At 42.6% G+C, this 27,982-nt stretch overlaps 1 protein-coding gene and 1 long non-coding RNA gene across 5 annotated transcripts in view, besides 1 other annotated feature; both read left to right on the top strand.

Moving 5' to 3' along the window:
- Positions 1-27,982, top strand: part of OPCML (opioid binding protein/cell adhesion molecule like) — a 1,117,521-nt gene that overhangs the window by 246,282 nt on the left and 843,257 nt on the right. The gene's annotated exons all lie outside the window — the stretch shown is intronic.
- On the top strand, positions 6-27,957 carry LOC124902796 (uncharacterized). Its single transcript, XR_007062959.1, has 2 exons — positions 6-9,733; positions 10,248-27,957. It is a non-coding gene; the product is annotated as an uncharacterized LOC124902796 (long non-coding RNA).
- Positions 16,736-17,025: an enhancer, noted in NCBI's record as "active region_5766". NCBI's record gives its function as "activates an Ori minimal core promoter by ATAC-STARR-seq in GM12878 lymphoblastoid cells {active_cell/tissue: GM12878}" and the evidence as "EXISTENCE:reporter gene assay evidence [ECO:0000049][PMID:35858748]".

Genomic DNA, 27,982 nt, shown 5'->3' with positions numbered 1-27,982 from the left:
CTCGGCCTCCCAAAGTGCTGGAATTGCAGGCGTGAGCCACCGCGCCCAGCAAGGTGAATACTTTTCCACAGTGTGTCTGGAGACATGGATTTAGAAGCCAGGGGCTGGGTGGGGCAGAAGGAGGCTGGTTCTATCCAAGTCTACCTGCCCTTGAACACCCTGACTTGTCTCCCCCTTTCAAGGAAGCCTGCCTCTCCATCATTTCTCTTTCTCCATATTTTTTTGGGACTTGTACTATTGTTTTGAGTTGTCAGTTATCTTTTGAACTGCTCCATGCACTTGGTGTATGTTTATGTCTTTCCAATGAATCAGTCAACTCCTACCAGGCAGGACCATACGTTTTACTGTTCACATCTTTGTACTGCAGCCTTACAGAATGTGCAGGGCCTTACAGAGGGTGGGAACTCAGCATACCAATATGCTTCCATTAGTTAGGAGAGATTCTACAAAATGGCAAAATCTCATACACCTTCTTTAAGGAGTTAAATCATTACTCAGCTGAAAAGAAGTTTCTTAAAGTTTATGAATAGTTCTAAAATATGTAGGTAAACAAAGCTATGTTAATGAGCAGCATTGTCAGAAATGGGTCACAGTTAATTGGAGACGTAGCACTCCTTCCCTAGCTGGCTCCTTTTAACAGCTGAAGTCTGAGCCTTTGTTATTACCCTTCCTCTCTATTCTCACTGCCACTGCCCTTCGTTAGGTCTGACACTATTTCAAATGAAGCATTATAATGGATCACAGCAACTAAAACAGACCGGCACAACAAAGATTCCCCACGTACGGGTCTCCTAAGATTGTCCTCCAGTCCGGCTCCCATTCAAATTTATCCTCCAAATACCAGCTGAGTTATATTTCTAAGGTCACTACAGGGCTGAAAAAGACTTCAGTGGTTGGTCATTACCTGTGGTAGGGGAAGTCAGATAACTTAAATTGCCACGTGTGACCCTTCGTGCCTTGAGCTTCATCTAGCTCACTGCATGTCCCTCCTCCCCACATACCCTGTGCTCAGCCACTGACGTCTTCTAAATGGGACAAACACACCTTGCTTGACTCACCCCTCTAATTTCACATATACTCTTCCGTGTCTTGGGTTCTCATCTAGAATTCTCCTTATTTCCCTTCCTCATGAGGTCTCTCATTACTCTAGGGAGAATTAGTTACCCCACTTCTTGTGTTCTGATTTGATTTGTTTATGTATCTCGTAACATATAGAGTTGTAAGTAATTGCAGCATACAAATAAGACCCCTCACCCCACCCCCACTGCCCCCAGACTCCAAGTTCTCCTAGAGCAAGAACCATGTCTACCTTTTTCCATTTGGGGTATTCCTGCTATGTGGCTGGCATTTTACTTATAACAGCTCATTTAAATTTTTAAATTATTTCATAAGACCTATTATTATCCCTATTTTGCATATGATGAACCTGAGGCTCTGAGTGTTTTCATTACCCAAAATCACAACTGGTGAATGCTAAAAACCGAGACTTACATGTATGTTCTGTTCTAAGGCCAGTGGTCTTTACTCTGCAGTGTGCTACTGTTGCTCATTCACACTTCTATTTTCTGTGCCTAGTACCACAAGATGGTAATAAGTAAAACGCCAGGTAAATGAATGAGGCCAAATTCCCAGTATCCCAGTTTCTCTTGAGTAAAAGTCCGACTCCCTTCCCATTTGTTGCCGCCCTTCCCTTCCCATCTCTGTCTTCCTCCTTTTCACCTGTGCTGTCTCACGAAGAAGGCAGGTCGTTTTTTTGTTGTTGATTGTTTTGTATGTGCTGCAAACATTGCAAGTGCTCCTCCCAGCTCACAATGACTTCTCCCAAACACCCGCTTTTGCTTTCTGACATTTTCAGTGTCCGCTGCCAAGACCTGCTGTGATTCTCGTGACACAGAGTTGTGTGTAAGAGCTTGCAACAGCCAGAGGGGCCTCTGACGAGACAGGCCATCCTGAGGCTGTCAGGCACTGGGTCGTAATGAGCCTGCCATTTGAAAGAGCCACGGTACAGGTTGGGTTTGGGTTTATCCTCCCTCTTACCTCCCCTTTCCATTTGATGTAGATTGGCACAGACCAGGTTTTTCTCAATGTAAGAACATAAAGACATGAAATATTCTCAGAACAGGAAAAGGCCACACGGCTCAATATATTGACCTCTTCTGTTAATATTTCCAGTGATTCTCCATTTTGGTAAAAGAGCTTGGCTGATTACTGCTGGCGGAAAGTGACAAAGTGAGAAGGTGTTTTAGGGCTTGACTTTTAGGTACTGGGGGGGGAAGCGATCCAGGAGAGTGTCAGGCCAGCTCCTCAATTTAGAAAGGAGTAAAAGAAACGCTGGAAACTGGTGGGTGTTCTTAAGGCTCACAGGTATGTGGAGCTGAGCACAGACTAGAAAGTGGGTTTTCTAAGGCATGAAGCCCATAGAACTATCCCAAAACATTACCTCCAGCAAAATGAACCTCATATACCGGGGCCTATTCCCCCAACTTCTATTTTAAAATTTATCTGGTGGAGTTACCTTGTGGTTTGGGGTTGGCATTCCTCTTTGATCTGTGCTAAAGGGCAAACCCATCTGGCCCCAAGAACAGTTAGAATGTTAACTGTGAGGATGACCACATGTATTAGTCCATTTTTGTGTCAGTGTAAACAAATACCTTTGGCTGGGTAATTTATAAAGGAAAGAGGTTTCATTGGTCCCTAGTTCTGCAGGCTTTACAGGAAGCATGGTGCCAATATCTGCTCAGCTTCTGGTAAGGGCCTCAGGAAGCTTCTAATCACAGCAGAGAGCTAAGCAGTGTGGGGTGGGGTGGGGGCAGGCGTGTCACATGGCAAGAGTAGGAACAAGGGGTGGGGGAGGTGCCACACTCTTTTAAATAGCCAAATATCGTGGTTGGTAATGGTAGACAACTCATTATCATTCATTACGGTGGGGAAGACACCAAACCATTCATGCAGGATCTGCCCCCGTGACTGAAATGCATCCCACCAGGCCCCATCTGCAACATTAGAGGTCACATTTCAACATGAGATTTGGAAAGGATAAACATCTAAACTGCATTATTCTGCCCCTTCCCTACCCCCCAAAATATCATGTTCTTCTCACATTGCAAAATACAGTCACCTCTTCCCAACAGTCCCTCAAAGCCTTAACTCGTTCCAACATCAAGTCCAAAGTCCTAAGTCTCATCTGAGACTTATCTTCTTCTGCCTATGAGCCTATAAAATCAAACGAAGTTATTTACTTCCAAGTCACAATGATGATATAGGCATTGGGTAAATGTTCCTGTTCCAAAATGGAGAAATTGTCCAACAGGAAGGGGCAGTAGGCCACACACAAGTCTCAAACTCAGCAGCCATTACACCTTAAAGATCCAATATAATCTCCTTTGACTCCATGTCCCATATCCAAGCCACACTGGTACAATGGGTGGGCTTCAAGGCCTTTGGGAAACTCTGCTCCTGTGGCTTTGCAGGGTGTAGACCCTGTGGCTGCTCTCACAGGTTGGAGTTGAGTGCCTATGGCTTTTCCAGACTCAAGAGGCAAGCTGCTCATGGCTCCATCATTCTGGGGGCTGGAGGGTGGTGGCCCTCTTCCCACAACTCCACTAGGCAGTTCCCTGGTGGAAACTGCATGGGGGCTTCATCCCCCCATTTCCCCTCCCTCTGCACTGCCCTAGTGGTGGTTCTCTGTGAGTGCTCCACCCCTGTGGCAAGCTTCTGCCTGGGCACCCAGGCTTTCCCATACATCCTCTGAAATCTTGGAGGAAGCTGCCAGGCTTCCTTCATGCTTGCATTCTGTGAGCCTGCTGACTTAGCGCCATGTGCAAGCTGCCAAGGCTTATGGCCTGCACTCTCTGGAGTAGTGGTCAGAGCTGTACCTAGGGCCCTTAGAGCCACAGCTGGAGCTGGAGCAGCCAGGATGTGGGGAGCAGTGTCTGGAGATTGCTCAGGACAGTGGGGTCTTGGACCTGGCTCCTGAAACCATTATTTTCTCCTAAGCCTCTGGGTCTGTGATGGGAAGGGCCGTTCCAAAGACTTTCGAAATGCCTTGGCTCCCTTTTAGTCATGTTAATCTCTCTAGCAAGTGGTTGCTACACAACCTGTCTAGATTCCTTCTCTACAACAGGGCCAGGCTGCAAACTTACTTTTACTCTCTGCTTCCCTTTTAAATATAAGTTACTAGTTTAAGTTTTTTTTTGTTGTTGTTGTTGTTCCCAAACCTGATTCTAGGCCATTAAAAGCAGCCACACCACTTCTTGAATGCTTTGCTACTTAGAAATTTCTTCTGCCAGATACTGTGAGTTGTCACTCTTAAGTTCAACCTTTCACAGATCCCTAGGGTGCGGATACAGTACAGTCAAGCTCTTTGCTAAGGTGTAACAAGGGTGACCTTTACAGCAGTTTCCGATAAGTTCATTATTTCCACCCGAGACCATTGACAGTCTGGATTTTACTGTCCATATTTCTACCGGCATTTTGGTCACAACCATTCAACCAGTCTCTAAGAAGTTCCAAACTTCTCCTCATCTTCCTGTCTTCTTCTGAGCCCTCTACACTCTTCCAACTTCTGCTTGTTACCCAGTTCCAAAGCTACATTCATATTTTCAGGCATCTCTATGCCAACACCCCACTCCTTGGTACCAATGTTTTTGTGTTAGTCCATTTTTGCATCTCTGTAAAGGAATACATGAGGCTGGGTAATTTATAAAGAAAAGAAGTTTACTTGGTTCATGGTTCTGCATCTGCTTCTGGTGAAGGTCTCAGGAATTTACCAGTCATGGCAGAAGGTGACAGGGACCCAGCATGTCACATGGCAAGAGCAGGAGCAACAGATGTGGGGGAATGCCACACTCTTTTAAACAACCAGATCTCACATCAGCTCAGAGCAAGAACTCCACATTACCTTAAGAACAGCACCAAGCCATTCATGAGGGATCTATCCTCATGATCAAAACCCCTCCCACCAGGCCCCACCTCCAACATTGGGGATCATATTTCAACATGAGGTTTGGAGGCGACAAATATCCAAACCATATCACCATATCAGATGGACCCATGGTTTGTCTCTTTAAGCAGGGCTTCCCCCTTTCCAAGCTTCCAAAGTGTCTCTAGAGCGAGGGGTGATGCCCAGTGAGGGACAGTCTGCAGGACAGATCAGCCCACAGTGGCAGTTCTCTTATTCAGACAATTTCTCCAGTGCCTCTGTTGAAACTCTTGAGCTACCAGGTTGGGATAATCTTCCCTAAGGGACGAGAACATTGCCCAAGAACGTTAGGACAATGAGGAAAGGTACCAAGGGGCAGTACTTAGCCACTACTCTCTCATTGCTCTTGATAAAAACTTTCTTTCTCACCATTTGCCATTCTGGTTACCGGTTGATCCCAAGCCACAAGAAGTCCTCACTTTCTTGAAATGCCACTCTTAACATCATATCCCTTGCCGATATAATGGATCAAGAAAGATCTAAGAGGCCTCATTGTTTTTATGCAACCAGGGTACCAGCTTCTACCAACAATGTCATATTCCATATGCACTGTTACTATTTTGTCTCCTCCCCTTCCTGAAATGCATATGAATATCCTGCTAAAAGACACAGGACATGCAATTATTCACACATAGTACCTCAAGCAATTGACAGTCAACAGAGCCAATGTTAGGTGTTGCTCTGGAGATATGCGCAAATGTTAGGGGATTTGATCTTGTCTTGAAATTTAAAATGGGGAGGGCAGAGTAGGTGTCCCTAATGAAGTGTTCCTTGAAAGCAATCTGGCAGTTGAAATTTTAGCTGAGGTGACAGAAGATCTGTTAGTTCATTCAAACCACTTTCTCCCCTGCCAGAGGTGAAGAATAATTCTGAGTGGTTCCTGCTCAACATTTTTTCCTACTGCAACATCTAATGGTGTTTGTATTCTCACACTGCCACAAATACTTCTAAGATCATGCAAAATTCTGAACATACTCTTTCTAAGGAGAGAAAAGGACAGGCTGGTAAAGAGACAGAATTTATTTGCAAGGCTTAAGTAAATGGAAAGATACAATGAAACAGAGAGAGTGGTTTTATATGCAAATCTAGGAGGGTACAACTATTTTGCCTGATGATTATAAACTCATTGAGAACAGAGGCCATATCCATCTTCACTCTGCACTCCCAATGCTCATACACAATGCAACTGTTTAGGTTCAATAAATACTTCTTCCCTGTCCAAATCTACTTCTCATCCTGTTAGTCCTGCTCTTATTTTTATCTGGATTGAGGGCTGGGGGAGTGGCTGAAGAAGAGAGGCACATGTATTGCCTCTATCATTATTTCCTCACAAATAACCAATTAACTCCTGCACCAGTATTTACACCACTATCTACTAAATCTTGAGAGAAAAATAAATTTAAAAATAATTTGGATTCCTTTTTTATTCTTTATGGGTAGAGTTTTTTTTATTTCTCTGCTTAAGAAAGGGAAATAATTGAAATAAGAGAAATTTTCATTTCTCTGCCTGCTGTGGGAAGACATATTTCAATAATGCATTGAGATTCTCTGAAGAGGTGGATGGCCAGGCTGGTAGAGACACCAGCAGCAGCCGGGCATGGGGTGGAGGTGGTGAGAGGAAGGGGCCGTGTCTGAAAACTGCTCTGAGAGGTGTCCTTAGCTCTGGGCAACTGCAGCTGCAGGGAACTCTGGCAGAGGGGAACAAAGTAGTGAGTTTGCTAAGACCAGAGACTGATTCTGCCTACGGTCTTTAGCCAGACGGCTGCTTATCAGGAGTGTTCAGACTGGAAGACAGGAAATTAATGTTGGATTGTAGGTCCATTTGTGCTAAGCTGCCCATGGTTGCTTGGGAGGCTCATAGCACTGAACCCTGGCCATACCTCTGTGCTTTCAGAGAGCAGCATCAGGCATTTTGTAGCATGAATAAAGACCTGAAAAAGAAATGACCTATTCTGAGAGGATCAGAGCACCGGGGATCATTTAACCACAACATGATGACGATTTGTGAGATGGGGAGATTGGTGACATGTAAAATTATCTGTGTGAATGCATTCAAGGAGGGGAGATTGCTGCTTACTTATTTACTGTCAAATGACTGAAAGCCCAGGTTTGGAAACAGCGAGGTTCTATTGTCAGTTCTTCCTATTAGCCGTGGACTACTAGTGGCAAGGTCTGGAGAACAAGACCCTGATTCTGTGAAATCACCCAGGTTTAAGCGCTAGCATTTGTTAATCCAGCGGGTGATTGCACAGGCTTTGGAGTTGAACATGCTCGGGATGTAATTCCTCTTCTCCTCTTGATTAGGCGCATGAAAGTGGTCAAGTTACTTAAAGTCTGGAAGTCTCAGTTTTCTCATCTGTAAAATGGAGATAATATAGACTTTATAGACTTCATGGAATTTCTATGAGAGTTGAGGTAGGACCATTAACCATACCATTTTATTCCTCAACACTGAATCTGGAATCAATTGAGTAGGTGGCTGACAGATTTTTTTTTTAATCAAACAAATAAAAAGATGAGGTTTGTTGCTACTTGTATTAAATTAGAGAATATAGCTTGAATCTTTAGCTAAAATTGGGCTTTCTACTATCTGCAGTATGAAACTCACACATCTAGTAGTATAGCCTCTCATCTCAATCTCCTCCTCTTATATATGCCCTCTCACTTCCCACTCCCCCAACCATAGACACACAAATAAGTAAGCAGAGATTCCCTCATAAGAACGTAATGAGAGAAGAATGAGTCCAAGCTGACAGTGAGAAAGGTGCATCAAATGCCACTGGCCCCACGTATTTATAGAATTATCCTTTCATTGATATTACTTTTCATTCTCATGTATCTGTAAAGAAAGAGATTTATAAAGAACCTTAAGCTTTTTGAGGGAAAGCAAAACCAAACAATAACCCCCCCTAAAAAAGAAAAAGAAAACCCCAAAACCCTCATCATTGCACATTTTCTTCATTTCCAGCTGTCTTTGGGCTGGTTTTCATAGGGAGCTGAAGACAGAAATCAGTACTCATGGTGTCACTCTCTGTAGTTGTGGCATTTGGGTGCTTCCCATGCCAAGAGATCCAAGCCTGATATTCAAGCAGGCTTAAAAGAGCCCGTCATGGTGGAGGCTGAACATACGCTACAGTGGGACAACGGATATCCAGACCAAGGTGTCCCCGGCTCACTTTCAGAATTCCAGTGCTGATAGAATCTCACTTACAGACCACAGAATTTAAAAGGGCTGCTGAGGCATTCCAGAAATAGCCATTAACCTGGAGCAAGGATATATGCTTCAATCCTGCCTCTGCCATGTCCTAGCAGAGTGACCTTGGGCAACTAGTTACTCCGTGTCTCCTAGTCTCATTTTCCTCCCCTACAAAACGGGGACAATAATGCCTATCTTATGGGGTTTCTGACGAGATGAGCAAAGTACTTATGTTACATACATTATATGTATATTATACATATATATATATTTAAGCACCTGTTATTGTCAAGGTCTGTAATACACATATATATACACACACATACATATATACACACACATATATGTATATGTATATATACACTGGATACATGTACTGGATCTGAAAGGAATACATATGATAAGGAATCATTCAGTTGTCTTTCCTGCTCACCTGGCCTCGCGTAACTTAAAGGTGACTTAAAGGTGAATGATCTGGAAGTGGAAGAGGCCATTGTCCAGGCTCAGATGGCCCAACAGCAACAGTGGTGTTGCAGCACTTTTTCTGCATGAGATTTTAACTTCGTCTGGAAGAAACCCAAATGCCTAAACTAATGTATAAATTAATGAATGCATAGATGCCTAAAATGTTTGTTTTGTGGGTGTTTTTTTTTTACACCTGAAGGAATGAGTTTTATTTTCTATAAAATGTTTGACTCTCAATGACTCATGTTAACCAATTGGCACATTTTCTTTCTTCCCCGAAAACCAAATTGTTAAGAAAACAAGAACTTCAGAACAGGGAGGCAAATTGACTGCATCTGTGCTGTCTGAGTTAGGGGACTAGTCGTGGGCTAAAAGTAGATGGCTGGACGTGACACATATTTGGAAGTAAGGAGTGACTCAAGGACAGAAAGGAGTCTGGGATGAGTAAGTCTTCGTCTCCTGAGTAGCTGAGCCTGGAGAGGGAGGGGAGGATTCTGAGCATGTTGCAGTAAACAAAATTAAGGATGCAAGGAAGTAGAATATGTTTGTGGCTAACGTAAAAGAGTCGATACATTTGAAATACCGACAGGACATCTATATCTGTATTTATCCATCTATAAACTATTGGAACTATGTCTGAAATTTCAGAAACATTTGTAAGTCTTCTGCACAGAAGAAATAAGTGAGGCCATTGAAATGGATGAAGTCTTTCAAAGATCTTAAGTAAGAGTAAAATAATTGGGGCAAAGTCGTTGGGGAAGGGTTGGATAAAGAAAAAGAACTGTCATAGAAGTTATAAAAACAAACTCGGGTGGTCTAATAGAATTGGCATCATGGGAGAAGTGCATTTCAAGAAGAAGATGACCAACAGTTTCAGATACTCCAGAGAGATCGAGAAAAATGGAATATAAGAAAAGGTCTCTAGATTTGATCATTAGATTTCAAAATAATTTCACATTTTTCATTTTATTTGTACAGCATGTCAGAGCTGCCAAGGTCAGAATCTGTTTTTCAATATTACGCTTTTGGATGTATATGGAGCACCGACATTTTATTAACAAGTATGCTCCAAATCATATCGCCATATCTGGGTAGGTTTTGCTCCCTCCTGCATTGTGTGCATGGCTGTTGCAAACCTCACCCTCTATCCTTCCTGCTGAGAGTTGACCCCACTGCCTACTCCTGAGAGTGAAGTCTGAAGAACCTCCCCACTTGGCCCCTCTTCCTTTTCTCCCTTGCTCTTGGCTCGTCCAGCTCTTTCAGGTTCTCTGTTCTTTCCCACTTGTAAATCTTCAATCTCTTCCACGATTCCTTACTTCTACCTGTAAATATGCTTAGGTCTAAATTTTTCTTTATAAAGAAGAAAGAAACAAAGAAACCCAGCGATTCTATCTTTCCCTCATTTTCCCTCTTTGCCACTAATAAAAAATATTTCCTGCAAAAGAAAGACATATTTTCCATGGTTTGTATATCCCCAAATTGTTGCTGATTTCTGGGAAGTCATTTTTTATACTGAATCTAGGGATTAATTTATTTTTGGGTCTCTGGCCACGATTCATTTTCTAACCATCTCTCTTTTTTTGTTTTCTTTGTCATTACCCTTAGTGGGGATGTGGACAACTTCAACATTGAATGAATACATTCAGTCATTGATGAGGAGCAGGAGGAGACAGCATAAAATATGTGAGGATAAAAAAGATAAGAGTTTGAGTGGTGTAATGACACAGGTTTGAGTCAAGGAAGGAGATGGTAGCAGCTCCAACAATTACTCATATAATGCCCTCTGTCCACTCCTGAACAAATGTCTATTGAATATCCATGTGCCAGGCGCCTTTCTGGGTGCTAGGGACACAGTGGTGAATAAATAGATCTGCAGCTTCTGTGCTCTTAGTGTCCAGCAGAGAGAGGTTAATATTTTCAACTGTGGCATATTAATCTCAACTTGTCATTCTCTGGTGGGGGCTAGAGCTCATGTCTGTATTTGTAGAGGCAAAGCAAGATGGACAGTGTTAACATTCTCTAGGTCAGTGGTTTCAAAATGCTGACCCATGATGATGCTGGCCCATGATGAAGTCCCACGCCTGTGAGGAATGAAAACAATTGGGAGAACAAAGCCAGAGGGAGCCATCATGTCAACAACTGTCCTTTCTGAAATTATATCCTCTCTCTCTATGGAATTAAAATGCACCCTTAGTTTTTAAGAATTAATGATGAGAAGAAGTAGACACTGTTACTTGGCAAAATAAAAAAAAATTGGCACCTAACTTCTGCCCTTTCTTTTCTTTTAAATTTTACTGATCTATAAACCCCGAAAGTCTGAGAATTTCTGTTACAAGATATCTAGGTTATGCAGGAAATACATATTTTTTTGAGAAAAAAAGGATCTTCCAGTTGGCTCAACCCAGGTAGGCTGTGGACAATTGATCCAATTTACCCAATATTTACCCAGCCTCCCACCCCCTTTGCTGGGATTCTGCCAAGCAAACTCACCAGGAAACTGAAGGGTGCTTGTCAGTAAATCAATTTAATTGTTAATTGTGGCCAGACCCAAAAATGTTCATCTAAAATCATAGCTGTCACTCTAACCCTAAGGATAAGAGACATCCACTTAAAAGACAAAATCTAAAAGTCCCAAAGGCAAATTAATATAAACGACACCCGGGATTCCTGAGAAACGGCAGGTCTCGAGCTTTCCAGCTGAACTGTACTTTGCGTTTATCTCTCTGTCTCTTTGTCTTCTACAGCATTTGAAGGAGAAATTCCAAGGGAGAACTCAGTTAAACTTGACTAATTAATTCTTTGTAAAAGCTCGTGACTGAAGATGGGATGGTAACATAGAGGCCGCCTGGCCGTAGGGTCAACTGGACCCTGTGCTCCTGGAAGTTGGGGCAGTCACTTTAGTCACGCACCCTCCCCAAGCCCAGCACCGAGGGGCTGTGCCGGTTTCCCAGGGCTCCCATAACAAAGTACCACAACCAGGGAACTTCGAGGTGATTGTTTCACAGGGCCAGAGGCTGTAGGTTCAAAACCAGGGCACTGGCAGGGCCATGCTGCCTCAGAAACCTACAGGGGAGAACCCCTCTTTGACTCTTCCCATGTCTGGTGTTTCACTGAAAATCCTGGTGTTCATTGGCTTGTGGGCTCAGCACTTCAGTCCCTGCCTCTGTTGTCCCAGGACCTTCTTCCCTCACACGTCTCTGTCTCTGTGTCTTTTCTCCTTTTCTTACGAGCCATATTGGATTAATGGCCCACCCTATTCCAGTATGACCGCACAGGAACTAATCACATCTGCCAAGACTCTATAGCCAAATCAGTTCATGGTATGAGGGACCAGGTAATAGGACTTCAACACAGCTTTTCTGGGAGGATGAGAGGACACAATTCAACCCATGACAAGTGCTCAGTAATGAACATGTGAATAAATGATTCTGGGAACTAGCACCAGTTAAGACTTTGGCTGTGGGGATGACAGCATTTGAACAAACAGGTGTGTACTCGCCTTAGTGCTGAATACAGATATAGATATAGATAGAACTAGATAGATAAATATATGTATGTGTGCAAATATGTTTATATATTTGTATATTACATGTATAATAGTAAAAATTATATCATGATGTTATTGTGTGCTTTTGAAAGGTCTAACACACGAATTTCAAAGTAGTAATAATTAAACTTATGCACACTGCAGATGTCACCCATGGTCTTCCAATTCCTCACACTCGTGAGATTTTTCCTGATTGAAAGATTCCATTGATAATGACGGACATTGGCTTGCAATGCGACAATTCCCTCTTAAAGCAGTCAACCATTGCCAAGACTGAGGGCCCTCTGGATAGGAAGTGGCCCCCATTTTAGGAAAGAGGGCTCCAAGAGGGCTCCTTCTTCCTGCGGAAGGAAGAGGCCATCTCTCTTCAGCTTCTGGCTTAGCAGATCCCTTGAGGGACTACTGAAAATCCAGGAAGAATTTTTACTGATTAATTTTAAAACATAGTTTTTGCCAAAAGAAAAAAAAAGCTTCTGTCTCCTGAACTTTGGTTCTGCGAGAGAAAGAACATAATGGGCCCAGACTATTACAATCTTGACCTTTCATGGAGAGGCTTAATGAGATGGTGGGAACTTGTTGAGGGCTGTGGGGTCAGTTCCTCAGCTCCTCAGGATGCCGCAGGACTTGGAAGTGTGGTTTGGTGGGTGCCATGGGAGCTGATTCCCGGCCCCCAGCACCTCACTGGCTCTTGGGTGTGCACCCTGCTGGCTCACAGGGGTCGCTTTTGCAGTCCAGAGGCCTGGTACACTTCCCACCTTGCTCCTAGGACATTTTCTTCCCTCATAACCCCTCCCCATCCCTCTGGTTCACTCAGGTGCCTAAGAGAAGGTGCTGGTTTGAATGTGTCCTTTGACCCCAGCTAGAATAAATGAAATAGGATAGTCGTGCGTCCTAGGGAGGGACATCCACTTTCAGTGGGTGGCTGCTATCTGGTGCTCTGCCAGCTCTCCTTGAAACCCCTGGCAGCCTTCCGAGATTAAATGCAGAGCTCTTGAGTAATCTAAACCCAGCAAGAAGTCACTCTCTCAGCAGCAGGTCAAGTGTTCTAGACTGTCATCTTATTGAGAGCAAAGAGAAATTTTGATTTAAAAGAAGGCCCGTAATTTTCCAACAAGGAGTGAAAGCAATAACATTTCTTCTGCCCCCTGCTGACTCCTCACTTCGTAGAAACTTGGCTTCTCCGGGTCTGGATCATTCCTTTGTGCTTGGATATTCTGTCAGAGGCTTTCTTCTCAAAGAGATGTTCCTTAACAAGAAATGCATTGAAGCTGAGGAAGGGAACAAATTGATATGTATTTGTGAGTTTGGTAAAATAAGAAAGATGTATTCTCAGCACACAATGGTGCATGTGCAGGCCTGCCTTGTCCACCACCCTCAATCCACCTCCTCCTGCCCCTTTCTTGGGTCCCTTTCTCTTGCCTCATACCCTGCCCCGAGCGTCCCCGGGCCGGCCCAGAGGGGAAGGAGCATGGCTTTCACGTGGCCAGAAGGGACACAGGGTTCAGGCCTGCTCAGAGATAGAAATATAACTCCCTGACAGGGAATACTGTTTCGAGGTGGTGTTCTGTATATGAAAAAATCTGCATCCTGATATATGCCTCATAATATAGTGCTTTGTGGGTCTTATTGCAGTGCATTTTATTTAGTCAATAATGCTGTACAGCACTGTCTGATAATAAATAACTGCAATTTGCATGATATTCTGGGCTGTTAGATTTTTTTCTTGTTCTACAAGAAAATTGCATTTATCTTTCAGTTTTCTTTTTTTTTTTTTTTTTAGTCCAAATATCCTACAACTGCTTAAATAAAGACCACTTCAACTTTCAATTTATTACTAACCCTAACTATCACAGCAAGCAGTATAAGGGCTAAGAAACATGAGCCTCTTGTAAGGGGCTAATCTCTGCATTGGATACTGTTGTGTGCAGGTGGTTACTGCATCTGAAGCACTCCTTTCCTTCAGGAATTGTCCCTGTGCTCAGAGAGCTTGCACCAAGAGGCATACCTGCAGTGGTGTGGACAGAAAGGGCAGTGAGTGGGTGTCCACCCCAACTATGTTGCATCATTTTAATTAGTTTGCATCTGTGTGTTAGACTCTGAGCATCACAGATGCAGGGACTATATGTGATTATCTTTATAACCCTTGGATTGAGCATCCTGCCGAGTGCATACTAAGTGCTCATCGAATTTTGTACAATAAATCAGTGCACAAACAAATGAATGAGAAAGTCATTTTGGATTCAATGCTGCCTATCTGTGCAATTTTATGCTGGCATACTTCTGGTGGCAATTTTATATTTGTAGTAGTTTTTGAAGCACTGTCATAGACTGGTGATATTGCATAGGGGTGAGAATATTGGTTCTACCAATCAGTTTCTAAGCTTTAGCTCCTTCCTCAGTAAAATGGGAGGAACAACTCTAGCTATTTCTTAGTGTTGTATGTGTTCAGTGAAACAATGCATGTGTTTATCATAGTGCCACACACACAGTAAGTGCTTGTTAAATGGAAGCTAATTAGTATCATTATTATTGATGGCTATGATGATATCCTCTCTTCCTACCATTTAATTCTACTGAAATTGTTGATCCTTAATGTGTTTAAGGCCCATCTACCTTCATGTTTTCAGTTTAGATTCAGACAACATCTATCAATGTCAGGCAAAGATCCAGCTGGTGAGAACTGAAGAAGAGTGCTTTGTGTGTGTGCTTTATCCCTTAACACTTTGAAAATGGCAAGAGAGGATGATTATTTTGTGGATGTTTACTCTGGGCCAGGTTCTGGGATATTGAGATACTTTATGTATGTTACCCTTTTTAATCTCTATAAAAATGTTTTGAGGTAGGCATTATCACCCTCTTATTTTATAGAGTAGGGAATTTAGACGCACAAAGGGTATACAACTCATTAGAAGTCACACATCAAGTAAATGATGAATCCAGGCATTCCTGGCCACAAAGTCTGATGTCTTACTGTGTTAGATCAGCGTAACCTTCCTCATCAGCCTCAGCATAAATGTCGAATTGGTGCATTTACTTCAAGGAGCAATTCAGAATCCTATACACAGACCTTAACGAGGACACAGTAGCCTTGATTTTAATCAACAGCTTCCTCAGGCTAACGTCCCTGTGAATCTCTCTGGGCCTTGTATACTTCTTCTGTAAACTTGGTAGCACAGCAGAGACTATATCAGGTGGAAGCAGAGTGTCCTTTTCACTGTCTCATACCTACGATTCTGGACTTGGAATGAGTCACACGTGTCGCAAGCATGTTAGGATATATAGGAACAATTTAATTGGAGGGAAATATTTTCTCCTATTCCTGGCTGTCTGAGGTTCTTTGAGTCCTTTCAGTGTTAAAATATAAACCACGAAAACCACCTGTTTACAGTGTTTCCACTCTGTCAGCCAGTGTACCTCCATGTTGAATTGAACAAGAAATTGCTATGGGAATGCACACATCTGAAAGCATAAACAGGTATTTGATATCTATTTTAAATGGAAGCCAAAAAATGTCATTGGTACTTAGTATTTCTTTCCTAAAACAATCCCTTATATGTCTCCAAGCATCAGAGAAATAGAGAATTTAAGACTTGGAGGAGACCAGAGGGATCATTTGTCTAGCCTTCTCATTTTCCAGATGAACAAAGAGATGGTTTTTTTTTTCTTTGTCCCAACTGTGTGATATTTTAAAGCTCCCTAGCAGAATAATTTCCCATCTAGCTAAAGCTTATAGAGTGAGGACACATGAAGAAAACACTGGGAATTTTGCAGTGTATCAAGAACTCCACAGTGTGCTGAATGGGGCCCAGAGAATAGGTTTGCTCTCTGTTTTCTATTAATCAATCAATCAATCCAACACAAACACAACACAAAACTTGAAATTAAACATAAAAATTAACAGAGTAGCAAGTAATCAGTTCTTGGTGTCTTTGCTGTCATTCTTAGCACCTCCACATGAATAGGACAGGAGACTAAAATGTGAGAATTAGATTCCAATGTCGGCATGCAGGAGCTCCCAAGTATCATCTTTTATTTAAGCCTTCTTGTATTTTGAAGTTATATCTCATAGTTATCTAGCTACGAGAATAAAATGTATAAAATCACACCTCTTGGAAGCATTTTCTTTTTATTCATTTCTTTCATTATCATGAAGATCTTTAACTACAGGGGTGCTGAGGTTAGCCCAAACCTTTGCACAATACTCTCTTCTGCAGTAAATGATGGGATATTCTTCTTGCTCTTACAGAAAGGTAATCTTATCGATAATGCTTCCCTAGTTAGAGAGATGGTTTGCTGCTCTTAGTGCATGTTAACGATATTGTCCATTTCTGGAATGAAATTCAGCTCCCATGGCTACTTTGTCTAGCCTGTTGATGTTAGTTTTTACCATTGCCTGAAATGGGTAGCAGGTGGCTTTAAGTGAAATTCACAGTGTTCATCATTTTTTCAACCAGAAAAAGAAAAAACATGAGTAATAAAGTTCAGTCTGTGTCAATAAATGAGTAATAAAGTTCAGTCTATGTCAATGTGAAAATCTGGGCTGCCTACTAGGGTACAGAATGTGACCAGATCAGTGAGTGAGAAGGTGTCCGTGAAATCCCCAGAGTAACTGTTCTATGTTCCTCTGAAAAGAAGCACCTTGTGGCTCTGAGGTTCTTTGAGGAAAGTCCCTTCTCCCTGTTCAGTCATATACACCTGCTTTCTGCAGAATGTCAGAACCCAAGTTTGTTTGTTTGTTTGTTTCACTCTCGGGGAATTTCCAGTTTGTGATTTCATCAATTCAGTGGCTCCCATATTTGGTGGTATTATTTAAAATGCCAGATACATAAAGCATTTAGAGCTCAGAGATGCCCTTCTTCCCAGAGAAGTGTAGCATCACTCTTAGACATAAAGAGGCTTTCCTAATTGAAGAACTTGAAGAGTCTTTGTTGCATCTCAGACTCCCCATCTGAACCTGTAGATCTTATTGTCTCTATGAACAGGTGGAATATTGTTAGATCCAGGGCCACCAGCTGTCCTGGAGCACACATCAAAGAGGTACCCCTAGAATTGTGCAAAAACATGATATAGTTGGGTCTGCATTTTACAATGGATGTAAGTCCTCGGGACCAGTGTTTTCTACTATAAGCCTAAACAGTATGATGGGCAAAACCTGCCTTCAGAGAAATGTGTGCATTACTTAGCAGTTTCACTTCATTCTATGTTATAGGAAAAATTATCTACTCATATCGTACTCAAAGGTCTTCTATCTCTATTCATGCTAAGCTATTATATTTGAAATCTATAAATTCTCTTTTATAAGATGATGAATTTAACTTGCTCAGTACTAATCACAGTTTTGGAAACAGTTTCTAGTGTATGCATTACCTTAAATTGTTAATCTATGGTTTTGCACTTTTTCCTGTCAATCTATAATTAAATCATATGAAAACACACTGATTTTACATCATTAAAATAAAGGTGTATTCTGATTATCTCTGATGACTATGGCTTCCTAGCATTCATTATTTAATTGCTAGACATTTTATTATCAGCTCACATGGTGTTATCTAAATTAATTGTGAACTTTAATATATTTGTATCTAAAAAGAAAATCAGTTTTCTCCTCATAAAGTAGACTCAGAAAGCTGAATAGGCAAATTTTATGCTAACAACCTAATATCCTCTTGCAGTTAGGAACAGAATAAGAATGTTTATGGAAATGTCCCTTTCAGTTATTTATCAGAGCTCTTGAATGGTGATACTGTTCTATCAGTTGCATGAGATGACACATGTTTTATCCAACTGTTTGGTGACTGGATTTCTAAATTAATGTCAAGACAGAAAAGTCAGTGGGATGTAAGAAGTTCCCTGAAATGTGGTCTGAATATCCAGGGCTGTCCACTCTGGCCTTGAGGGGTTGCCAGAAATTCTTGACTGGGGCTAGGAAAGAGAGAAAGGGAAAAACATAGTCAGGGCCATTGTTACATCAGTGGATGGGGAGGCTGAGATCACACAGAAGGAACTGCACCTACTGGATGAACTAGAGAAGGAGTATATTAGTCTGTTCTCATGCTGCTGATAAAGACATACCCGAGACTGGATAATTTATAAAGAAAAGAAGTTTAATTGACTCACAGTTCCACATGGCTGGGGAGGCCTCCCAACCATGCAGAAGGTAAGGAGGAGCAAAGTCACATCTTACATGGTGGCAGGCAAGAGAGCGTGTGCAGGAGAACTGCCCTTTATAAAATCATCAGATCTCATGAGACTTATTCACTATCTCGAGAACAGCACGGGAAAGACCCATCCACATGATTCAATTACCTCCCACTGGGTCCCTCCCACGACACATGGGAATTGTGAGAGCTACAATTCCAGATGAGATTTGGGTAGGGACACAGAAAAACCATGTCAGGGAGTTAAAATTTAAAAGGCAGAAGGCAGTCATATTCTACCATGGCTCACAGCAAAACAATTATTTGATAAAATTCCATTATATTTAATACCAAAAAGACAAGAAAATATATTCAGTGAGTGCCTGTTATGATGCAGGTACCAAATTAAGAACTTTATATACATACCTCACTTAATCTTCACAGTAGATATGCAAGGAGGATTTGATTGTCTACATCTTACAAGTGAGAAAACTGAGGCTCGGAGTGATCAGAAAACTTGCTCAGGAGCACATGGCTAGAATGTGGCAGAGGTGGGAAATTGAATCATTTCCATTTTACACCATCGATAAAAATTACCGAGGCTCAAGTCTGTAATATAATGTTAATCTGTACAACTCTGTAGCAATACTAAGTGTGACGCTCAGAGACACTGTAACTTGGTCCAAATCAAACTGCGAGTAAATTGCAGAGCTGGGATTGGAGCCAAGGTCATTTTAATTCCAAAATGTACACTCTTTCCAACACATTGCATTCCACCGCCTACAAAGTCCTTCCTGTTATACTAAACAGCCTCTCTAGGGAAACAAACAACTATTTATCTGCCCAAGGTGCCGAATCATACTTCTGCTTTAAGATAGACAACATAGGAGATGTATCTTGAAGATCTTTATCTGTCCAAAGATTGACAGGCAAGTCTCTGAGATTAAATTTAAAAGGTAGCTTCCATGTAGACATCTCACCTGCCCTGAGGACATCTCATCACATCCATTATTCTGTGCTGGGGAAGCTCTCCAGCACAGAAAAATCTATCAGGATGGGATTCTAATCGAAAGCAATAGCATATGCCATGGTATTAACCACATTGTTCTGGCTTGGAATGTTAAAGCTTGCTACTTTAACTCATACTTTATACTCAACCCATCCTCATTCCCTTGGACTGTGTGTTCATGTATTTATCTTACCCACTAGATTGAAAGCTTCCTTAAGACAAGAATTGTCTCCAACTAGTCATTCAATACATATTTATTGAGATCCTAATACATGCCAGATAGTGTTCTAAGTCCCGATGAGTAACTACTGAGCAAGATAGACATGAGTTCCTGACCACACACTTTAGTGGGAAATACCAAATGGCAGTGACAACAACATGGTATGATGAAGATTGTGATGGGCAAGAACAGTGTGTATTCTGGAAGCAAATGTAATCTAGACTTAGAGACCAGGGGGAGATCCTTGAGGGAATGTCTAAGGGGAGCTCAAAAGGATACGTGGGAGTCATGAAAGATTGGGGGTCTTGGAGGTTGGTGAGGGCTCCCAGCTACAGGGACAGCAAGTTTGAAGGAGTGAAAATGAGCAGGAGAATGGGGTAATCAAATAATTGAAAGTTCCTTCTGGATGGAGCCAAAGTGTGCTAGGGTGGGGTTGAAGGAGGGAAGCATTGGAAGCCACCTCAGTTCGTTCCCTAAGTCCTGGTTCTTGCATAAAGACTTATATTGCCTTGTGTATTTCTTTAACAAAACAGGTTTGTTTGTTTTTAAAGACTTGGGATTGGTTACCCTGACTTGAGATTTAATGTCTATTTTCTTGACTTTTTTTTTCCTAGTGTTGCTATCAAATTGCTATTTTGATTCTTGGCCTGTGTGCCTCATTTCTCCATCCCCTTCTCCTTTTGTAAACGGAGGTCTATTAATACTTTATTCACAGTGAAGTTGTTGGGACTAATTACCCGATGCCTGCAAAGCCATCTGAGACGATTGGCTGAGAGATGTGCCATGAAGTCTCACTGTTTCTCAAAAGCCCTGATTGCTTCCGGCACATTTCCCCTTCTGTTTTTGTGGGACTGCAGCAGCAATTTATCCCAGTGCCTGTTTCCTCAGAGTCTGTTACTCAGTCATCATCTGACACCTGGGAGGAGCGCCGGCAGCGTCTGTGGTACTCAGCCTGACTCCTTCAGACACATCTTCACTCCCAGACGGGAGGAGGGATGCTGAGCCAACCCCACTGTGATGGGGACACAGCCCCAACACTGGCTTCCGTCTTGTTTCAAAAATAATCAAATCCCACTTTGTCTTGCTTTCAGGGACGTTGTGTTCTTAAGCGCTTGTCAGAAACAATTAATGGTAAGTTTCTTTCCCTAGAAATTGATAGCAAATATCCATTCCTCTCTCCTGATGTTGCATTCTCTAGAAGGACAGAAAACAGGAAGTTGCAGTAGCAGAGATAGAAATGCCCATCAGACTTTCAAGACACATTTCACCCAGAGCTGATCAATGGATAGCCAACGCCAATATATCAGACCCTGCAGAGCAGAACCTGGTATGATGGCAGACTCTTTGCTATGTGGCTGTGTCCCCACACCCGTTACCCTGAGTCAGACATTGCTAGTTGATTCACCATCCCACCCCACTTCTTCCTCACTATGAACCTCCAAGTTAGTCCAAGTATGAGTGGTTTCAGGAGGATGAAGCGGCAGGGAGATGTGACGCTTGGGAACTGTCCCTCTCTCTCCTCTCCACTCCTCTCTGGCAGCTGGTCACAGAACTGGACTATGTCCCTCTCCTCCAGAAAGTTACCCTGTGTCACACCATTTCACTGTCCCACTCCATTCCCACGGCGCAGCGAGTCATCAAGGACCCGAGGCCTCTCGGTAGGACCCTGGCAGTTTAAAATCTCCAAGCTTTACCTCACTCCTATGTCTAGTGCAGACAAAACCACTAAACCTGTAAAGGTGGTAGAAGAACTCTAACACATAATTAACTATTCCGTGCAGCAAATATTAGAACCCTCCCTCCGAAAGTACTTAGTTTATTTAATGATCTATGCCCTATTTATGATTAATTATGACATATTGATGACAGATGTATAACCACGTACTTTTTTTTTTTATTAAAAACCGCTGTGTGTATTTTTCTCTGTTGAAAGCCCTGTGAATTAGGTAAAGGAGGTATTATTATAGAGTTGATTGAAAGTTGAGGAATCTGAGGTTTGCACTTGCTTCTAAGTGCTCTTATAAAATTGCCATATGTGCTCTGATTTCTCGTTGACACCAGCATGTTAGTTCACTCCTGGTTCCCTCGAGGGTAAGTGTGCATTCACCGCATAGGACTGTTGGGCAGAACAGACAAGGACCTAGAGAAGGGCCCTCCATACCAGGAGTTCACATGTCTGTGCTGGGTGCAAGGAAATGGTTGGGGGTTCTCAAGTTAGCCTCACTTGTAAGACAGCAACACCTTCTGAACACTTCCCTCTTGAGAATTCACTGAGAAAGGCTTTGATTGTATTTGTCAGCTTCATCAGGCCCAGGAGATGAGAACATGCTCTTGTTCCTGAAACCACAGCGTCCTGTCCTGCATGTAATAATTTGCAATATGTTGTCTCCGTCACTTGGAAGGAGTCATTTTTCCGCAGCATCAGTGCTTCCCCTGGGAATTCCTTTCCTTCAGGTATTAACTTGCCTTGGTCCTTGCCTTTATTCTTATTCTTCTTGTTTCTCTGACTTTACATTTCACGCACCTGCCACTCTCAGCAACTCAAATGGTTGACTTTTCTTTCTGTTTTTCAATATCAATATATTTATTTTCTGTGGGATTTTTTAATCGTTTTTCAGAGTCCAGGAAGGGAGAATAAAATAGAAAGATAAGAACAAAAGATAAAATAATATTCCTTCACTGTTCCATTTTAAACGTGACATCAGGAGCTTAGACAGCAGCCTGTGTAATGGGAATTGTCCCTGGGTCCCAAACTGAGCCTGGAGAACTTTTACAAAATAACTCCACGTTTAGCTTGGAAAGTAGCAAGGCTGAAAAATACATGGCAGATTTTTGGAGTGGGGAATGAAAAGAAGTATGCCGTTATTTTTTTCTAGCTCCTGTTTTCTCTTTTTGAGCGGCTCTGTCTGTCGCAGTTCAGCAGAATCTAAACACCCACATTCTGTCCTTGTGTCACACCCCTGGCCAGTTGTCCATTAGTGGCGGGTGTTTCATTCAAAACACACGCCTCTCATGAGAAACAAGTGAGGACCCAGTGCATAGTAACTACAGTTACACACTGCTTAACAATGGGGATACATTCCAAGAAATGCACTGTTGGACAATTTCATCACTGTGCAAACACCATAGAGTACACTTAAACACACCTAGAAGGTACAGCCTACTACACACCTAGGCTGTAGGGCAGAGCCTACTGCTGCTAGGTTACACACTGTACAGTGCTCCTAGGTTATACCCCTGTACAGCAGTGACTGTATTGAACACTGTAGGCAACTGTAACACAATGGTAAGCATTTGTGTATCTAAACATAGGAAAGGTAAAAATACAGTATATAATCTTATGGGACCACTGTTGATATTCAGTCTGTCGTTCACTGAGCCATCATTATATGATGTATGACTGTATTTGAGTGTCTGTTTCTTTACATAAATTGTTTAATTTAGTCCCCGCAAACAGTTCGTCCAATAGATGATATTGTCTTTGATCATCTACATTTTAAAGAGAAAAAAATGAGGGTTCAAAGAAATTAGGTTATTTGTGCGGGGTCACATAAGTGGTAAATGTCCGAGCCACAGTCCAACCATACCCACTTGTTTTCAGATTCTGTGCATTTTCTTTTGCATGACCACTCTTCTGCTTGCATTATTGGTTTGGGATAAGGTTAAGTGGGGCATCTCATCTTTTATTCCCAGAAGTCTAGGGTGTCTTCCCCAGCTCTCTTTAGGTATTTCTCCTGAACATCGCTGATCTCGGGATGCCCCACTGGCACCCCACTGGTAGTAGAGTGAGTGTCCTCACGCCACTTTCTGCTGCTGGAATCTCCTAGGGGCCAATCCACCTGCAAGCCTGCACGCTCTTCCTGGGGACTCCACCGTCAGCTGCCCTTGGCCAAAATGACCCTCTAATACTCTGCATATGTCATTCCCACTCCACAGTCAGGGTATCCTGGAAGTACATCAAAGAGCTTGCCAGAAAGACCTGGATAGGAAGCCACACGAGAGGGCTCAAGATATTCATAGCGTTGGCAAAGAAGGCAGTAGGTACAGTGGAAGGGTGTCTGGCCATTGATGCAGGTGTGAATCCATCTGCCGGCTCACTGCTGTGTGATTTTAGGTGTAATGACAACTCACCCAGTCTCAGTACTTTCCTCTGCAGAATGGATCTAACATCTGATTTCCCATCCCATGGCGAGAGTTAAAGGAATGCCTGTTAGATGGTGTTAGGCCCCAGTCTCTCCATTTTCCTCATTCCTCTTTTTCTCTGTACTACAAACACCTCATGCTCCGCACATTACATGATAATGACAGCTAATATTTACTGGGTGCATCCTACACCCAGGAATGTTTCTAAGCATTCTGAATGCATTCGCCCATTTATCCTGGAGAACAGATTTTTAAAGGGAGAATCCTATTACTAACTAGATTTTATGGAAAATGGAGGCATTGTTTTCACCACACACAAAAACGTCAAATATGTGAGATAATGCATATAGGTTCATGAGCCTGATTTAGCTGTGCCACAATGTATACTATATCAAAACATCATGCCGTACATCAAAAGCGTATATAATTTTTATTTGTCAACTAAAAGTAATTATTTTTTCAAAAAAAGAAAGAAAATTCAGGCCAAGAGTAGTAAAGTCCCTTTGCTTAATGTCAGGTAGCTGGAGCCACCCACGGCAGGGCAGGACAGGAACAATGGTGCCCGGATGAGATCAAGAACATCCGAACCCTCAAAGGCAGGCAGAGGCTGAGAGCAGTGAGTTAACCTAATGACTGGGTTAGCCTGCACAGCCATTGCTCCTGCCCGCTGCATTCCACTAGAGCCACCGCTCAGCCAGAAGCACACTCTGAGGGTGCCGCTCACAGAAGAAGGCAATTGAAGTAGAGGAGAGCAGAATAATGTATTTCTTCTCTCTCCCCCTCTCCTCCCCGTCTCTCTTTCTCCACCCTCTCTTCCTTCAACCAAGTGTTACTGTGCATGTACTATGCGCTGTTCCTTTATACACCGAGGATATGACAGCGAACAAAAATGGTGAGAGCCCACCCATCCCAGAGTCATCTGAGAGACAGGACTAGGGTGAAAGCGCTTCCAAAGGTAGAGACGGATGCAGACCATGTGCCAGCCTCACCACTCTTTCGTCTGATGCCAGCTGAGCAGCAGTGAAGAGAGCCGGACGCAGACCATGTGCCAGCCTCACCACTCTTTCGTCTGATGCCAGCTGAGCAGAGGTGAAGAGATCATGATTGTGTTTAACATGGAGCCACTGAAAGTGTTTCGAATTAGAACCCAAGACTGGAAAGATGGGGGGGACAGACATTCCAGTCTCTAAAGGAAGAGAGAGCTACAAGACCCGTCAATCAGATCATAGCTCAGAAAGTGGACACTTAAGGAATGAAGAGGAAGTTTCCTTATTCGAAGATCCAAGAGGTGGCCATATTTGGATGTGACGTAGTCTCAGGCCTGGGTCCCACACCCAAAAGCTTTCTGTGCAGTTAGCAATGGTTCTAATCTGAAACTATATCAAGTGATATAGCTTGAGCACTTGATGTGATATCCAAAAACAAGTAAGAAGATAGTTTCTGAGCACTTGTTTTGTTAAGCCAAGGAAGTCAGATGGACAAAAGAACTGACCTTATAAACCAAATGGAGCTGGTAGCCAGGTCACCTGGAGCTGCACTTCGGAGATGCCAGAACAAAAAATTAGTGTTCCAGGAAGTCTTCTGCCTCTGTCCTCCACCTTTTTTGTTTCTCTTCTTTTCTTCTTAGTCTATTTCAGAAAAAAAAAAATCTATGTACTAAGGCATCAAGGAAGAAAGTAAGTCTTTTTACTCTTAAAGCAAGTGAGCTGGGGGAAGCAGAGTACGTGGATTCCAGATGTGGTCATGGCAACTGAAATCTGGCTCTAGCCATCAGCTCAGGCTGAAATTTCTGTCATTCTCGACTCCTGATGTGCTTCTGATTTAATTTAATTTTTAGTTTAATTTAATTTTTAGTTTCCTTCTGCCTGGGCCTTGAGGTTTCAAATGGATTATCCAGATTTCAAATCCAAAGCCTGCCAGGTCCTGCTGTTCCACTGCAGATTTTTTCTTGAAAAAAAGTTAGATCTTAGATCTCCACTCCCACTCCCATACCCCACATTCAGTCCAGATGCAAATCCCAGAGCTCCACCTTCAACACCTTTGAGGACTGTACGTCCTTATCAGTACCTATACTGTTGGCACTCTAATCCAAGCCACCCTGCCTGGATTTCTGCAATAGCCCCCTGGTCCCAGCCTCAGACCCTCTTTAGTCAGGTCTCAACACAGTGGCCAGTTTCCAAATGTACACCATGTCATCTCTTACATTTCTGCCTCATTTTGAGTAATAGCCAGAACCTTGAGCATGGCCTCCAGAGCCCTACTGGATCCCCTCCCCCGGCTTCTCACCTCCTTCCCTCCACTCACTGGCCCCAATGCACGGCTCCCACCTTCTTCAAATTTGCCCAGCATGTCTGGGGACCTTTGCAATTGCTCTGTCCTCTTCCTGAAACTCTGTCCCCCGAGAGCCACAGGACTCACTACTATATTTTGGGGGTCATTGCTGATCCACCTATTACATAAAATCGTATCCCTAATCCCAGAACTCCCCATCTCCCTTTCTTGGTTTGTTACCGATGCCCATATATTGTTTATTCAGATTGATTTCTCTATTTGCCTATTGTCTGTCTTTCTTTTCATTTAAATGGAAACTCTATGAAGACAGGGACGTTGTCTGTTATGTTCACTACCGTATTCCCAAATCTGAGAGTAGTGCCTAGACATAGAAGGTGCTTAGTAAATATCTATTGAATGAGTAAATACAAAAAATGTTCCCAGGGCATAGAGCATTGATTGATGTCCTCTTTATCTCATTGTATCCCTCATTTGCCCTTGGTTTTCTCTCAGCAAGATAAGATTTGTTTCATAATTAACATTCTATTTTTTACTGTAATTCTAATTTTTTAAAAAGTATAATTTCGTTTTTACTATTCTTCTCTCACTTTTGCATCAAAGATTCAGGGAATTAATTTGTTCTTACCAAATAGATAGAGGCTTTTGTGCTTAGATGGAAATACTTGGGATTTTCATCACATTGTGTTTCTACATCTCAGATTTCAAGGACAGGACTGACTTTGAATGTCAGAGTTTTACAAGAAGAAATATACTGTTCTGGGTGGCCTAGTAGGGGTGAAAAGCATTCACTTTGTAACCTCACTGCTGGGGTACAAATCTTAACTCAGCCAGTTACAAACTGTGGCCTTCAGCAAATACTAAACCTTTCTTTGCTTTAGTCTTTACTTCTAGAAACTAGAGAAGGTGAATGATGAGGTTAATAATATAAGCCCATAAATTTGAATTGAGAATTAAATGTATTAACACTTGAAGAGTAGTTAGAACTCATCCTAACTTATGAAAATGTTTATTTATAAAAACAAAACAACACTCTTCCTTTTCCTGTCTCTGGAACCGTGAACAAGTCATTTCCTGTCACTGCACCTCAATTCTCCTACCAATAAAATGAAGGGGGAGGTAGGAAAGGTTGAACAATTTCTGACTATGATTTTATCCACTCTAACTTTCAAAGTCTGAGGTGAGGCTGTCTCAGAGCCAGGAAGACAGATTTTGTGCTTCTGATTTAATTTAATTTTTAGTTTCCTTCTGCCCGGGCCTTGAGGTTTCAAATGGATTATCCATATTTCAAATCCAAAGCCTGCCAGGCCCTGCTGTTCCACTGCAGTTTTTTTCTTGAAAAGCAGAGCGGATGCCCAGGAAACATTCTAAGAAGCCTCTGGGGAGATCTCTGGGCAGGCAGGGGCAGGCTGGGTGGAGTGGGGCCCCCTGGGCTGTGAGGGCTCCTGGCAGTGCTGGGGGTAGCTGGGGGTACTTAGATCTCCAGAACCATGGGTGTGAGTGGGAGGGGGCCACGGTGACAGAGTGACCTGTGCCCCAGGAGGCCTTTGCAGAAGTCTTTGTCAGCAGTCCCCAGTGACCCAGCTCGGCAAACGCTCAGGAAGGCAACTGGCAACTGTGACCTCTAAGTGGGGCAATGAAAGAAAGGAACCCACATTTCCATGCTCAGGAAAACCTCCTGTAGAAGCTCAATCATCATAACCTCTGGTGGACCTTCTTGTTCAAAGTCACAATGGATTCCTTGCCACGCCCTAAGGTGATGAAGAGAGACTGTGCCTGTAGGTCACGTGCTCATCGGCAAGCCTTCCCTTCTTCCTTCACCTATGCCCTGCCACCCATTCTCAAAGAGTTGAAGATTATGCTTGTCCATAAAACTCAGCTTGTAGAGCCAGTCTTTCCTACCAAGATAATATGTTCATTAGCTCCTGACATCCCCTATTCACAGAAATAAAAAGATCTTTGCCACTCTATACTGACTGCTTTGTGTGTGGCCTT

Source organism: Homo sapiens, chromosome 11 (genome assembly GCF_000001405.40).
Source record: "Homo sapiens chromosome 11, GRCh38.p14 Primary Assembly".
NCBI lineage: Eukaryota > Metazoa > Chordata > Mammalia > Primates > Hominidae > Homo > Homo sapiens.
The sequence above is the reverse complement of the archived record's forward strand: the minus strand, read 5'-3'. Positions and strand labels throughout refer to the sequence as shown.